Genomic DNA, 14,257 nt, shown 5'->3' with positions numbered 1-14,257 from the left:
CAACAACAAAAACAAAGAACCCAACTAAACAATGGGCAAATGACTTGAATATAGACATTTCTCCAAAGATATACAAATGGCCAATAGGCACATGAAAAGATGCTCAACATTACCAATTGTTAGGGAAATGCAAATCAAAACAATATTAAGATACCACTTCACACTCATTAGGATGGCTATTACCAAAAAACAGAAAACAACAAGTGTTGGGGAGGATGTGGAGAAATTGGAAGCTTTGTGCATGGCTAGTGGGAATGGAAAATGGTGCAGCCAGTGTGAAAAATGGTATGCCAGTTCCTGAAAAAGTTAAATATAGAATTACCATATGATCCAGCGATTTTGCTTCTGGGAATATATCCAAAGAATTGAAATCAGGAACTCCAACAGATATGATACACCCATGTTCACAGCAGCATCATACACAATAAACAAAAGATGGAAGCAGCCTAAGTGTCCATTAATGAATAAATGGATAAACAAAATGTAGTATATACGTAGAGTGAATATTATTCAGCCTTAAAAAGGAAGGAAATTGGGGGGAGGTTCCAAGATGGCCAAATTCGAACAGCTCCAGTCTACAACTCCCAGCATGAGCAACGCAGAAGATGGGTGATTTCTGCATTTCCAATTGAGGTACCGGGTTCATCTCACTGGGGCTTGTCGGACAGTGGGTGCAGCCCACAGAGTGTGAGCTGAAGTACGGCGGGACATCACCTCATCCAGGAAACACAAGGGGTTGGGGAATTCCCTTTCCGAACCAAGGGAAGCCATGACAGATGGTACCTGGAAAATCGGGACACTCCCACCCTAATACTGTGCTTTTCCAACGGTCTTAGCAAAATGGCATACCAGGAGATTATATCCCGCGCCCAGCTCGGAGGGTCCCACACCCACAGAGCCTCGCTCACTGCTAACACAGCAGTCTGAGATCAAACTGCAAGGCAGCAGTGAGGCTGGAGGAGGGGTGCCCACCATTGCTGAGGCTTGAGTAGGTAAACAAAGCAGCCAGGAAGCTCGAACTGGGTGCAGCCCACCACAGCTCAAGGAGGCCTGCCTGCCTCTGTAGACTCCACCTCTGGGGGCAGGGCATAGCTGAACAAAAGGCAGCAGAAACTTCTGCAGACTTAAACGTCCCTATATGACAGCTTTGAAGAGAGTAGTGTTTCTCCCAGTGCAGAGTTTGAGATCTGAGAATGGACAGACTGCTTCCTCAAGTGGGTCCCTGACCCCCAAGTAGCCTAACTGGGAGACACCTCCCAGTAGGGGCCGACTGACACCTCATACAGCCAGGTGCCCCTCTGAGACGAAGCTTCCAGAGGAAGGATCAGGAAACAACATTTGCCGTTCTGCAATATTTGCTGTTCTGCAACCTCCACTGGTGATACTCAGGCAAACAGGGACTGGAGTGGACCTCCAGCAAACTCCAACAGACCTGCAGCTGAAGGTCCTGACTGTTACAAGGAAAACTAACAAACACAAAGGACATCCACACCAAAACCCCATCTGTACATCACCATCAACAAAGACCAAAGGTAGATAAAACCACAAAGGTGGGGAGAAACCAGACCAGAAAAGCTGAAAATTCTAAAAATCAGAGTCCCTCTTCTCCTCCAAAGGAATGCAGCTCCTTGCCAGCAATGGAATAAAGCTGGACAGAGAATGACTTCGACGAGCTGAGAGAAGAAGGCTTCAGACGATCAGTAATAACAAACTTCTCCAAGCTAAAGGAGGATGTTCGAACCCATCGCAAAGAAGCTAAAAACCTTGAAAAAAGATTAGACGAATGGCTAACTAGAATAAACAGTGTAGAGAAGACCTTAAATGACCTGATGGAGCTGAAAACCATGGCACAAGAACTACGTGACACATACACAAGCTTCAGTAGCCGATTTGATCAAGTGGAAGAAAGGGTATCAGTGATTGAAGATCAAATGAATGACATGAAGCGAGAAGAGAAGTTTAGAGAAAAAAGAGTAAAAAGAAACGAACAAAGCCTCCAAGAAATATGGGACTATGTGAAAAGACCAAATCTACGTCTGATTGGTGTACCTGAAAGTGACAGGGAGAATGGAACAAGTTGGAAAACACTCTGCAGGATATTATCCAGGAGAACTTCCCCAACCTAGCGAGGCAGGCCAACATTCAAATTCAGGAAATACAGAGAACACCACAAAGATACTCCTCGAGAAGAGCCACTCCAAGACACATAATTGTCAGATTCACCAAAGTTTAAATGAAGGAAAAAATGTTAAGGGCAGCCAGAGAGAAAGGCTGGGTTACCCACAAAGGGGAGCCCATCAGACTAACAGTGGATCTCTTGGCAGAAATTCTACAAGCCAGAAGACAGTGGGGGCCAATATTCAACACTCTTAAAGAAAAGAATTTTCAACCCAGAATTTCATATCCAGCCAAACTAAGCTTCGTAAGTGAAGGAGAAATAAAATACTTTACAGATAAGCAAATGCTGAGAGATTTTGTCACCACCAGGCCTGCCTTACAAGAGCTCCTGAAGGAAGCACTAAACATGGAAAGGAACAATCAGTACCAGCCACTGCAAAAACATGCCAAATTGTAAAGACCATCAATGCTAGGAAGAAACTGCATCAACTAATGAGCAAAATAACCAGCTAACATCATAATGACAGGATCAAATTCACACATAACAATATTAACCTTAAATGTAAATGGGCTAAATGTTCCAATTAAAAGACGCAGACTGGCTAATTGGATAAAGGGTCAAGACCCATCAGTGTGCTGTATTCAGGATACCCATCTCATGTGCAGAGACACAGATAGGCTCAAAATAAAGGGATGGAGGAAGATCTACCAAGCAAATGGAAAACAAAAAAAAGTAGGGGTTGCAATCCCTCTGATAAAACAGACTTTAAACCAACAAAGATCAAAAGAGACAAAGAAGGCCATTACATAATGGTAAAGGGATCAATTCAACAAGAAGAGCTAACTATCCTAAATATATATGCACCCAATACAGGAGCACCCAGATTCATAAAGCGAGTCCTTAGAGACCTACAAAGAGACTTAGACTCCCACACAATAATAATGGGAGACTTTAACACCCCAGTATCAACATTAGACAGATCAACGAGACAGAAAGTTAACAAGGATATCCAGGAATTAAACTCAGTTCTGCACCAAGCAGACGTTAACAGACATCTACAGAACTCTCCACTCCAAATCAACAGAATATACATTCTTCTCAGCACCACATCACACTTATTCCAAAATTGACCATATAGTTGGAAGTAAAGCACTCCTCAGCAAATGTAAAAGAACAGAAATTATAACAAACTGTCTCTCAGACCACAGTGCAATCAAACTAGAACTCAGGATTAAGAAACTCACTCAAAACCGCTCGACTACATGGAAACTGAACAACCTGCTCCTGAATGACTACTGGGTACATAACGAAATGAAGGTAGAAATAAAGATGTTCTTTGAAACCAATGAGAACAAAGACACAACATACCAGAATCTCTGGGACACATTTAAAGCAGTGTGTAGAGGGAAATTTATAGCACTAAATGCCCACAAGAGAAAGCAGGAAAGACCTAAAATTGACACCCTAACATCACAATTAAAAGAACTAGAGAAGCAAGACCAAACACATTCAAAAACTAGCAGAAGGCAAGAAATAACTAAGATCAGAGCAGAACTGAAGGAAATAGAGACACAAAAAAAACCCTTCAAAAAATCAATGAATACAGGAGCTGGATTTTTGAAAAGATAAAATTGATAGACCACTAGCAAGACTAATAAAGAAGAAAAGGGAGAAGAATCAAATAGGTGCAATAAAAAATGATAAAGGGGATATCACCACTGATCCCACAGAGATACAAACGACCATCAGAGAATACTATAAACACCTCTATGCAAATAAACTAGAAAATCTAGAAGAAATGGATAAATTCCTGGACACATACACCTGCCCAAGACTAAACCAGGAAGAAGTTGAATCCCTGAATAGACCAGTAACAGGCTCTGAAATTGAGGCAATAATTAATAGCCTACCAACAAAAAAAGTCCAGGACCAGGCAGATTCACAGCCAAATTCTACCAGAGGTACAAACAGGAACTAGTACCATTGCTTCTGAAACTATTCCAATCAATAGAAAAAGAGGGAATCCTCCCTAACTCTTTTTATGAGGCCAGCATCATCCTGATACCAAAGCCTGGCAGACACACAACAAAAAAAGAGAATTTTAGACCAATATCCCTGATGAACATCGATGCAAAAATCCTCAGTAAAATACTGGCAAACTGAATCCAGCAGCATATCAAAAATCTTATCCACCACGATCAAGTTGGCTTCATCCCTGGGATGCAAGGCTGGTTCAACATATGCAAATCAATAAACGTAATCCAACATATAAACAGAACCAAAGACAAAAACCACATGATTATCTCAACAGATGCAGAAAAGGCCTTCAACAAAATTCAACAGCCCTTTGTGCTAAAAACTGTCAATAAACTATGTATTGATGGGACATATCTCAAAATAATAAGAGCTATTTATGACAAACCCACAGCCAATATCATACCAAATGGGCAAAAACTGGAAGCATTCCCTTTGAAAACTAGCACAAGACAGGGATGTGCTCGCTCACCACTCCTATTCAACGTAACGTTGGAAGTTCTCGCCAGGGCAATCGGGCAGGAGAAAGAAATAAAGGGTATTCAATTAGGAAAAGAGGAAGCCAAGTTGTCCCTGTTTGCAGATGACATGATTGTATATCTAGAAAACCCCATCATCTCAGCCCAAAATCTCCTTAAGCTGATAAGCAACTTCAGCAAAGTCTCAGGATACAAAATCAATGGGCAAAAATCACAAGCATTCCTATACGCCAATAACAGACAAACAGAGAGCCAAATCTTGAGTGAACTCCCATTCACAATTGCTTCAAAGAGAATAAAATACCTAGGAATCCAACTTACAAGGGATGTGAAGGACCTCTTCAAGGAGAACTATAAACCACTGCTCAACGAAATAGAAGAGGACACAAACAAATGGAAGAACATTCCATGCTCATGGATAGGAAGAATCAATATTATGAAAATGGCCATACTGCCCAAGGTAATTTATAGATTCAATGCCATCCCCATCAAGCTACCAATGACTTTCTTCACAGAATTGGAAAAAACTACTTTAAAGTTCATATGGAACCAAAAAAGAGCCCGCATTGCCAAGACAATCCTAAGCAAAAACAACAAAGCTGGAGGCATCACGCTACCTGACTTCAAACTATACTACAAGGCTACAGTAACCAAAACAGCATGGTACTGGTACCAAAACAGAGATATAGACCAATGGAACAGAACAGAGCCCCCAGAAATAATGCTGTATATCTACAACCATCTGATCTTTGACAAACCTGACAAAAACAAAAAAATGGGGAAAGGATTCCCTATTTAATAAATGGTGCTGGGAAAACTGGCTAGCCATATGTAGAAAGCTGAAACTGGATCCCTTCCTTACACCTTATACAAAAATTAATTCAAGATGGATTAAAGACTTAAATGTTAGACGTAAATCCATAAAAACCCTAGAAGAAAACCTAGGCAACACCATTCAGGACATAGGCATGGGCAAGGACTTCATAACTAAAACACCAAAAGCAATGGCAACAAAAGTCAAAATTGACAGATGGGATCTAATTAAACTAAAGAGCTTCTGCACAGCAAAAGAAGCTACCATTAGAGTGAACAGGCAACCTACAGAATGGGAGAAAATTTTTACGATCTACCCATCTGACAAAGGGCTAATATCCAGAATCTACAAAGAACTTAAACAAATGTACAAGAAAAAATCAAACAACCCCATCAAAAAGTGGGCAAAGGATATGAACAGACACTTCTCAAAAGAAGACTTTTATGCAGCCAGCAGACACATGAAAAAATGCTCACCATCACTGGCCATCAGAGAAATGCAAATCAAAACCACAATGAAATACCATCTCACACCAGTTAGAATGGCGATCATTAAAAAGTCAGGAAACAACAGGTGCTGGAGAGGATGTGGAGAAATAGGAACACTTTTACACTGTTGGTGGGACTGTAAACTAGTTCAACCATTCTGGAAGACAGTGTGGCGATTCCTCAAGGATCTAGAACTAGAAATACAATTTGACCCAGCCATCCCATTGCTGGGTATATACCCAAAGGATTATAAATCATGCTGCTATAAAGACACATGCACACGTATGTTTGTTACGGCACTATTCACAATAGCAAAGACTTGGAACCAACCCAAATGTCCATCAATGATAGACTGGATTAAGAAAATATGGCACATATATACCATGGAATACTATGCAGCCATAAAAAAGGATGAGTTCATGTCCTTTGTAGGGATATGGATGAAGCTGGAAACCATTATTCTGAGCAAACTATCGCAAGGACAGAAAACCAAACACCACATGTTCTCACTCATAGGTGGGAGTTGAACAATGAGAACACTTGGACACAGGGTGGGGAACATCACACACCGGGGCCTGTTGTGGGGTGGGGGGAGGGGGGAGGGATAGCATTAGGAGATATACCTAATGTAAATGATGAGTTAATGGGTGCAGCACACTCAACATGGCACATGTATACATATGTAACAAACCTGCATATTGTGCACATATACCCTAGAACTTGAAGTATAATCAAAAAAGAAAAGGAAGGAAATTTGGTTGGGCGCAGTGGCTCACACCTGTAATCTCAACACTTTGGGGTGCCAAACTGGGTGGATCACCTGAGGTCAGGAGTCGAGACCAGCCTGACCAATATGGTGAAACCCCATCTCTACTAAAAATACAAAAATTAGCCAGGCATGGTGGTTTGTGCCTGTAATCTACCTGGGAGGCTGAGACAGGAGAATTGCTTGAAACCAGGAGGTAGAGGTTGCAGTGAGCCAAGATCGTGCCATTGCACTCCAGCCTGGGTGACAGAGTGAGACTCTGTCAAAAAAAAAAAAAAAAAAAAAAAAGAAGGAAATTCTAACACAAGCTACAACATGGATGAACCTTGAGGACATTATGCTGACTGAAATAAGCCAGTCGCAAAAGGAGAAATACTGTATGATTTCACTTATGTAAGGTACCTATATAAGTGAGTAGTAGTCTAATTCATAGAGACAGAAAGTAGATTGGGCCAGGCATGGTGGCTTATGCCTATAATACCAGCACTTTGAGAGGCTGAGGCAAGAGGATCACTTGAGCCCAGGAGTTTGAGACCAGCCTGGGCAACATAGCAAGACTTCGTTTCTACAAAAACTGTAAAAATTAGCTGGGCATGGTAGTGCACACCTGTAGTCCCAGCTACTCAGGAGGCTGAGGTGTGAGAGTCGCTTTAGCCCAGGAGGTCAAGGCTACAGTGAGCCATGATTGCATCAGTGCACTCCAGACTGGGCAACAGAATGAGACCCTGTCTGAAGAAAGAAAGAAGGAAAGAGAGAGAGAGAGAGAAAAGAAATAAAGAAAAAGAAAGAAAGAAAGAAAGAAGGGAGGGAGGGAAAGAAAGAAAGGAAAAGAGGAAAGAAAGAGAGAGAAAGAAAGAAAGAGGAGAAAGAAAGAAAGAGAAGAAAGAAAAAGAAAGAGAAAAAAGAGAGAGACAGAAAGAGAAAAGAAAGAAAGAAGGTAGGGAGGGAGGGAAAGAAAGAAAGGAAAAGAGGAAAGAAAGAAAGAAAGAAAGAAAGAGAGAGAAAGAAAGAAAGAGGAGAAAGAGAAAGAGAAGAAAGAAAAAGAAAGAGAAAGAGAAGAAAGAAAAAGAAAGAGAAAGAGAAGAAAGAAAAAGAAAGAGAAAGAAAGAGAAAAGAAAGAAAGAAGGTAGGGAGGGAGGGAAAGAAAGAAAGGAAAAGAAGAAAGAAAGAAAGAGAGAAAGAAAGAAAGAGAAAGAGAAGAAAGAAAAAGAAAGAGAAAAGAAAGAAAGAAGGTAGGGAGGGAGGGAAAGAAAGAAAGGAAAAGAGGAAAGAAAGAAAGAGAGAGAAAGAAAGAGGAGAAAGAAAGAGAAAGAGAAGAAAGAAAAAGAAAGAGAAAAGAAAGAAAGAGGGAAAGAAAGAAGGAAAGAAGGAAGGTTACTAGGTGCTGGCAGAGGGAGTTGGGAGTGAGTGTTTAATGAGTACAGAGTTTTAGTTTGGGAAGATGAAGAGAGTTCTGGAGATGGAGGGTGGTGATGATTGCACAACAATGTGAATGTACTTAATGCCACTGAACTGTGCAGTTAAAATGGCTAAAATGCTAAGTTGTATGTTATGTATATTTTACCACAATAAAAAATAAAGAGGGGTCATTGGACTGCGTCTAAGGTGTCATCCAGCTCTAAAATTTGATTCCTCTCAGTACTTGACACAACATAAGAGGATGTTCCCTCGTTTCCTTCACCAAATAGCAAAATTGAATCCTCAGCCTTTTTCAGCCTGTGCTGACCAGAACTGTTTGGGAAACAAACACCTGAGAATCTCTGGGTTTGGCTGGTCTCTTATTTAGCCAAGAGGAAACTGGAAGCCCCTGAAGAACACCGCAATTTGCAGGCAAATCAGGGCAGGTATTTTGTGGTCCTTGGGGGAAATTTTTTTTAATCAATGTTCTTAGACTTTTGGGTGAGTCTTGCTTATTGTATTTCTGAGCTGGACAAGGCATAGCTTCAGGAAAACTCAACTCAGAGCCCATCTGTTTAGTATTTGGAGCAAACTCATGGGGAGTACTCAGGCTGAAAATTGGTTTGGAGTTTGGGTGGTTGTTTAAAAAACAAACAAAACTCCTTTAACTATCATGCAGATGAGTGTAGCGACTTAAAACACACTGCCTGGACTCCTGAAAGCATGCAAAATGTCATCTTCTGCTTTCCTGATCTTTCTGCATTCTAATTTCAGATGTCTGCCCTTCAATGAGATGAGTGACTGTCAGTTTAAATACCAGACTCTCAATTCGGGATATCCTTAAGGGACACAAGGAGTTTTGTAGCTACTCAAAGAAACAGTTTCCAGCTTGGGTGTCTACCTCTGTTAGTGCTAACTCCATGAAAATCCTTGGCCGGAATACATGGTGGAGCATGGTAAGTATGTCTGTTGCAGGTCTGGATTATCCACCTTCTTCAAACTCCAGGGCTAAGTCTGGGATTATCTCCAAGAGCCGGCATGCAACCTGAAGTTTAGGTAAACTGTCTCATTCACCTCGCTGTTCCCAGTGCGAGATCCCCAGGGCTGGGGATAATGAGTAGAAACTCATTATCTACTGATAGCTGAATTAAATTTAAAGGAGTGTAATTGAGCAATGACTCATTCATGAATCGGGCAGCCCCCAGAATCACAGCAGATTCACAGAGACTCCAGGGTTGCCTTGGGGTCAGAACAAATTTATAGACAAAAAAGGTAAAGTGACATACGAGAATCGGAAGTGAGGTACAGAAACAGCGAGACTGGTTACAGCTCAGCATTTGCCTTATATGAAGGCAGTTTGAACACTCAGCAGTCTATGAGTGTTTGAAGTATGGCCGCTGGGATTGGCTAACACTTGGCTATCGTTACAGATGCATACTATTAAGTTAGGTTTTCAATTATGTATGACTATTAAGCTAGGTTACAGTTCATTCACAAATATAGAAGTACTGAGTCATTCTCAGGCCGTATTTAGTTTGCTTTAACACTACTGAGTTGAATTGAATGTCATCCTGAGTGGTACAGAATGGAACATAAAGGTCAAACTCTCAATTCGAAATCAGCAAACTGCCATAGAAATCCTTCACCTTCCTAGCTTGGTAAAGAAAGAAGAAATACCCCCAAACTTGTTCTTTGCACTAATTAATACCCAACTTAAAAATTGCATATGTTGTATTATTTGTAATCCTAGTGTCTATTAATGCTGAAAAGCAAAAGCAACCATAATGAGGGGCTGATGATTAATTTTTCTCATTTAGGCTTACCATTCTAGCTAATTTGGTCTTGACAAATTCAGAACATGGGATCTGTATGCATCCCAGACAGATGTGCAAGTCCTGTGTAAATTAATCAAGCCTGACTATAGATCCATCTGCTGGCCCCCTTATCCCAAAACACTGACAGCCCTGTCTTGCCACCAGGTAGGCTTTTTGTTGTTGGTGTTGTTGTTGTTTTGTGGGGTTTTTTTGACATGGAGTCTCGCTCTGTCACCCAGGCTGGAGTGCAGTGTGCAGTCTTGGCTCACTGCAACCTCCGACTCCCAGGTTCAAGTGAGTCTCCTGCCTCAGCCAACTGAGTAGCCGGGATTACAGGCATGCGCCACCATCCCAGCTAATTTTTGTATTTTTAGTAGAGATGGGATTTTCACCATGTTGGCCAGGCTGGTCTTGAACTCCTGACTTCAGGTGATCCACCTGCTTCAGCCTCCCAGAGTGCTGGAATTACAGGCATGAGCCACCGTGCCTGACCAAGGTAGGTGTATTTCTGAATAAGCTCCTGCATAAATCTACCTGGGTAAAACTCTTGCATTTTATATTTACACTTTGTACTTTTCAATGCCATTCCATATGTATGTGTGTCATTTTATAAATGATACATGATAGATCATTTTTCACATTTTATACATGTTACATCACTAACCATGTGGTGAAATCAAAAGGATTCCCACTTTACAGAAGGGAAAACTGAGGCATGAAGAGGTGATTTCTTCATCTAAGTTAGTAGTAGAGTTTGGATCCTAATTATTTCCCTGCTTCTCTGGTTTAATCCTTTCCTATTTTGATGCACATTTGTAAGCTTAAAACTTAGCATCTGCCTGCCAGTTTTTAAAACAGTCTGCATATCTTCTCTTGGGCATACAACAGCCAGTGCAGATACCCAGGATGTCTGCCAGCTGCCAGTCACTTCTCTTCTGGAGCAAGGGCTTTCTTCCAAGTCAGCAGGCTTCTTAGACTATGCCGTCCAGCGACTTTGGTTGCTAGGCACAGAACCCCTGTAGGAATTTGGGGATTTATGGCCAGGATTCACAGGAAGGAGAACTCAGTACAAAGCAAAGAGCTGGGTCTCAGGAGGAACTTCAGGGAGGTCTGGCTGGTTCTGGGTCCAAAGTGGCCCAGGGTCCGCAGCAACAGTTTTGCAGAACTTTACCCCAGTCTAGAACTCTCCTACTAATGAGACCTAGCTCACAGGGAGACACACTCTCGGAGTTTCTGTCTTGCCACCGCCTGCCTAATGCCTCACTGCTGCTCAGAGGATATAAAGTTATTTTTCTGAAGTCAGCATATTAGGTGAAATTCCAGTAGAGTCCAGATTTGCCCTTGGAAATTCTTTAAATCTCCAGAGAGTACTGTTGATGTGGTTTTATGCATGTAGCTCTATGTAGTAATGTATGCTAGATGCAGAGTGTATGGGGTACTCTCCTTACAACTTTTTGTCTGGCACTGTCCTTTAATCTTGCCTATAGGGAGCATCTTCTCCTATACTTGGATGAACATTTGGGGCAGCCTTTGGTTTTGTTTTTTTAATTCAGAAAAAATTTACATGACATAAAATTAAACATTGACGATTGCAAGGGTACAATGCAGGGACAGTTAGGACATTCCCAGTGATATACAACCACCAGCTCTGTCTAGTTCCAAGACATTTACATCATCCTGGAAGGAAACCATGTACCCACTAGTGGTCCCCTTACCCCGTCCCCCAGGCCCTGGCAACCATGAGTCTGCTTTCTGTCCCTATGAATTAACTTCTTCCGATGTTTCATATCAATGAACCCATACACTATGTGGCCTTGTGTCTGGCCTCTTTCACTTAGGACAATATTATTATTAAGGTCCATTCACATTGTAGCATGGATCAGTACTTCATTCCTGTTAATTAGCCCTTTGATTTTGGTTTACTCTTTGGTTTTAAAAAGTCCTAGAGTAACTTTCCTTTTTTTTTTTTTTTTTGAGACAGAGTCTCCCTCTGTCGCCCAGGCTGAAGTGCAGTGGCACAATCTAGGCTCACTGCAACCTCCACCTCCTGGGTTCAAGCGATTCTCCTGTCTCAGCCTCCCGAGTACCTGCGATTACAGGCACCGGCCACCATGCTGGGGTAATTTTTGTATTTTCAGTAGACAGGGTTTCACCATGTTGACCAGGCTGGTCTTGAAATCCTGACCTCAGGCTGATCCACCTCAGCCTCCCAAAGTGCCAGGAATACAGGCGTGAGCCGCTGCGCCTCACCTGAAGCTAGCTTTGTTTGCAAACATGGTCTCCACTCAGAAAATCAAATCTCCAGTCCAATCCACGCTTAAGTCTTGACTCACAGATGAGCCTTCTGCCCCTGCTCTTGCCACAGCCACCTGCAGGAAGATCACCCCCCTTGGGGACAGCAGACAGTGTCCTTCTCTCCCTCCTTTTTCCTCCCTGGTTTGCTCACTTCTGTTTCTGGTTTCTGGCCCATCTGGGATGGAGCATGAGGAGGGAAAGCAGGGAGAAAGAGGAAGAAAATTTGCACTTGATTGGTACTGTAGTAAAGTGGCTCTAAGCTCTCTGAGTCTGATGGAATTTGACAACCTTTCCCCAACGTCGGCCTCGTGTTCTTTGGCAACGCCCACTGCGGCCCTGCAGTTGCAAACATCTTGAGGTGGGCAATGCATTTTCCCCTTTTTCCTGCTGCCCACGGACTTCACACAGTCTCCGGAACATCCCATGGCCCCTCCAAATAGCCTTCTTGAGCAGGATTTTAAACTCTACAGACTTATCGCTCTGCCATGGGAGTAGGAGACCCTAAACATAATTGAAATTACATAGAAGTATTTAGAGACAAACAAATTGGTTTTATCACATTAATGGACCTATGAAATCATTCTATTCAAAAACTGTGTTTGAAAATAAAATGTGGCTGGGCGTGGTGGCTCACATCTGTTATCTCAGCACTTTGGGAGGCCAAGGCAGCCAGATCACTTGAGGTCAGGAGTTCGAGACCAACCTGGCCAACATGGTGAAACCTCATCTCTACTAAAATTAGCCAGGCATGGTGGTGCATGCCTGTAACCCCAGCTACTCGGGAGGCTGAGGCAGGAGAATCGCTGGAACCCAGGAGGCGGAGGTTGCAGTGAGCTGAAATTGTGCCACTGCACGCCAGCCTGGGTGACAGAACGAGATTCCATCTCAAAAAAAAGTAAAATAAAATTCGGTCCGGGTGCAGTGGCTCATGCCTGTAACCTCAGCACTTTGGGAGGCTGAGGCAGGTGGATCATTTGAGGTCAGGAGTTCAAGACCAGCCTGGCCAACAGAGTCTCGCTTTGTTCACCTAGGGTGGAGTGCAGTGGTGTGATCTTGGCTCACCACAACCTCCATCTCCTGGGTTCAAGTGATTCTCCTGCCTCAGCCTCCTGAGAAGCTGGGATTACAGGTGTGCGCCACCACGCCAAGCTAATTTTTTTATTTTTAGTAGAGATGGGGTTTCACTATGTTGGCCAGGCTGGTCTTGGACTCCTGACCTCAGATGATCCACCCACCTCAGCCTCCCAAAGTGCTAGGATTACAGGTGAAACCCACCACAGCTGGCCTATGATATTTTTAATTGAGAAAAAATATTATTTACTGGTGCTGAGGTGCCTGGTGAGCTTAAAGGAAATTCTGCTAAATGAAAGATATTCTCATTTCTTATTTATCTCATATTGAAATGTATATGTATTTCAGCCCAAATATTTTCCCAGGGTCTTTTTGTATTCTTTCAGAATACCTTTCTTTGATAAACGTTGTTACAAGATGAAAAAGCATCAAATAAGAGATTTCTGTTCATGAGTATTTTAATGTTTTGCCGAATTTAAATTGTAGGCCTTTCTTAATTTTATTCCATTCTGGTACATAATATAAATTTATACAATTAAAAATAGAAGCTCTGGCCAGGTGCAGAGGCTCATGCCTATAATCCCAGCACTTTGGGAGGCCAAGGTGGGTGGATCACTAGAGGGCAGGAGTTTGAGACCAGCCTGGCCAACATGGCGAAACCCTGTCTCTACTAAAAATATAAAAAAATTGTCTGGGTGTGGTGGTACAGACTTGTAATCCCAGCTACTCAGGAGGCTGAGGCATGAGAATTGTTTGAACCCAGTAGGTGGAAGCTGCAGTGAGCTGAGATGGTGCCACTGCACTCTCCAGCCTGGGTGAGACAGTGAGATCCTGTCTCAAAAAAAAAAAAGAAGAAGCAGCAGCTCTATTAAAAGATTCTCCCCTCTCCCCTCAAGTTAAGATTTTCTTTTTTAAAAAACTTCTTACTCTGCCTTTATTAATTTGACATCTAAAATTTTGTGTTTTTTTCATTTTTAAT

The sequence above is a fragment of the Homo sapiens genome, chromosome 14 (genome assembly GCF_000001405.40).
Source record: "Homo sapiens chromosome 14, GRCh38.p14 Primary Assembly".
NCBI classification, from domain to species: Eukaryota; Metazoa; Chordata; class Mammalia; order Primates; family Hominidae; genus Homo; species Homo sapiens.
This window is presented reverse-complemented; position numbering follows the sequence as displayed.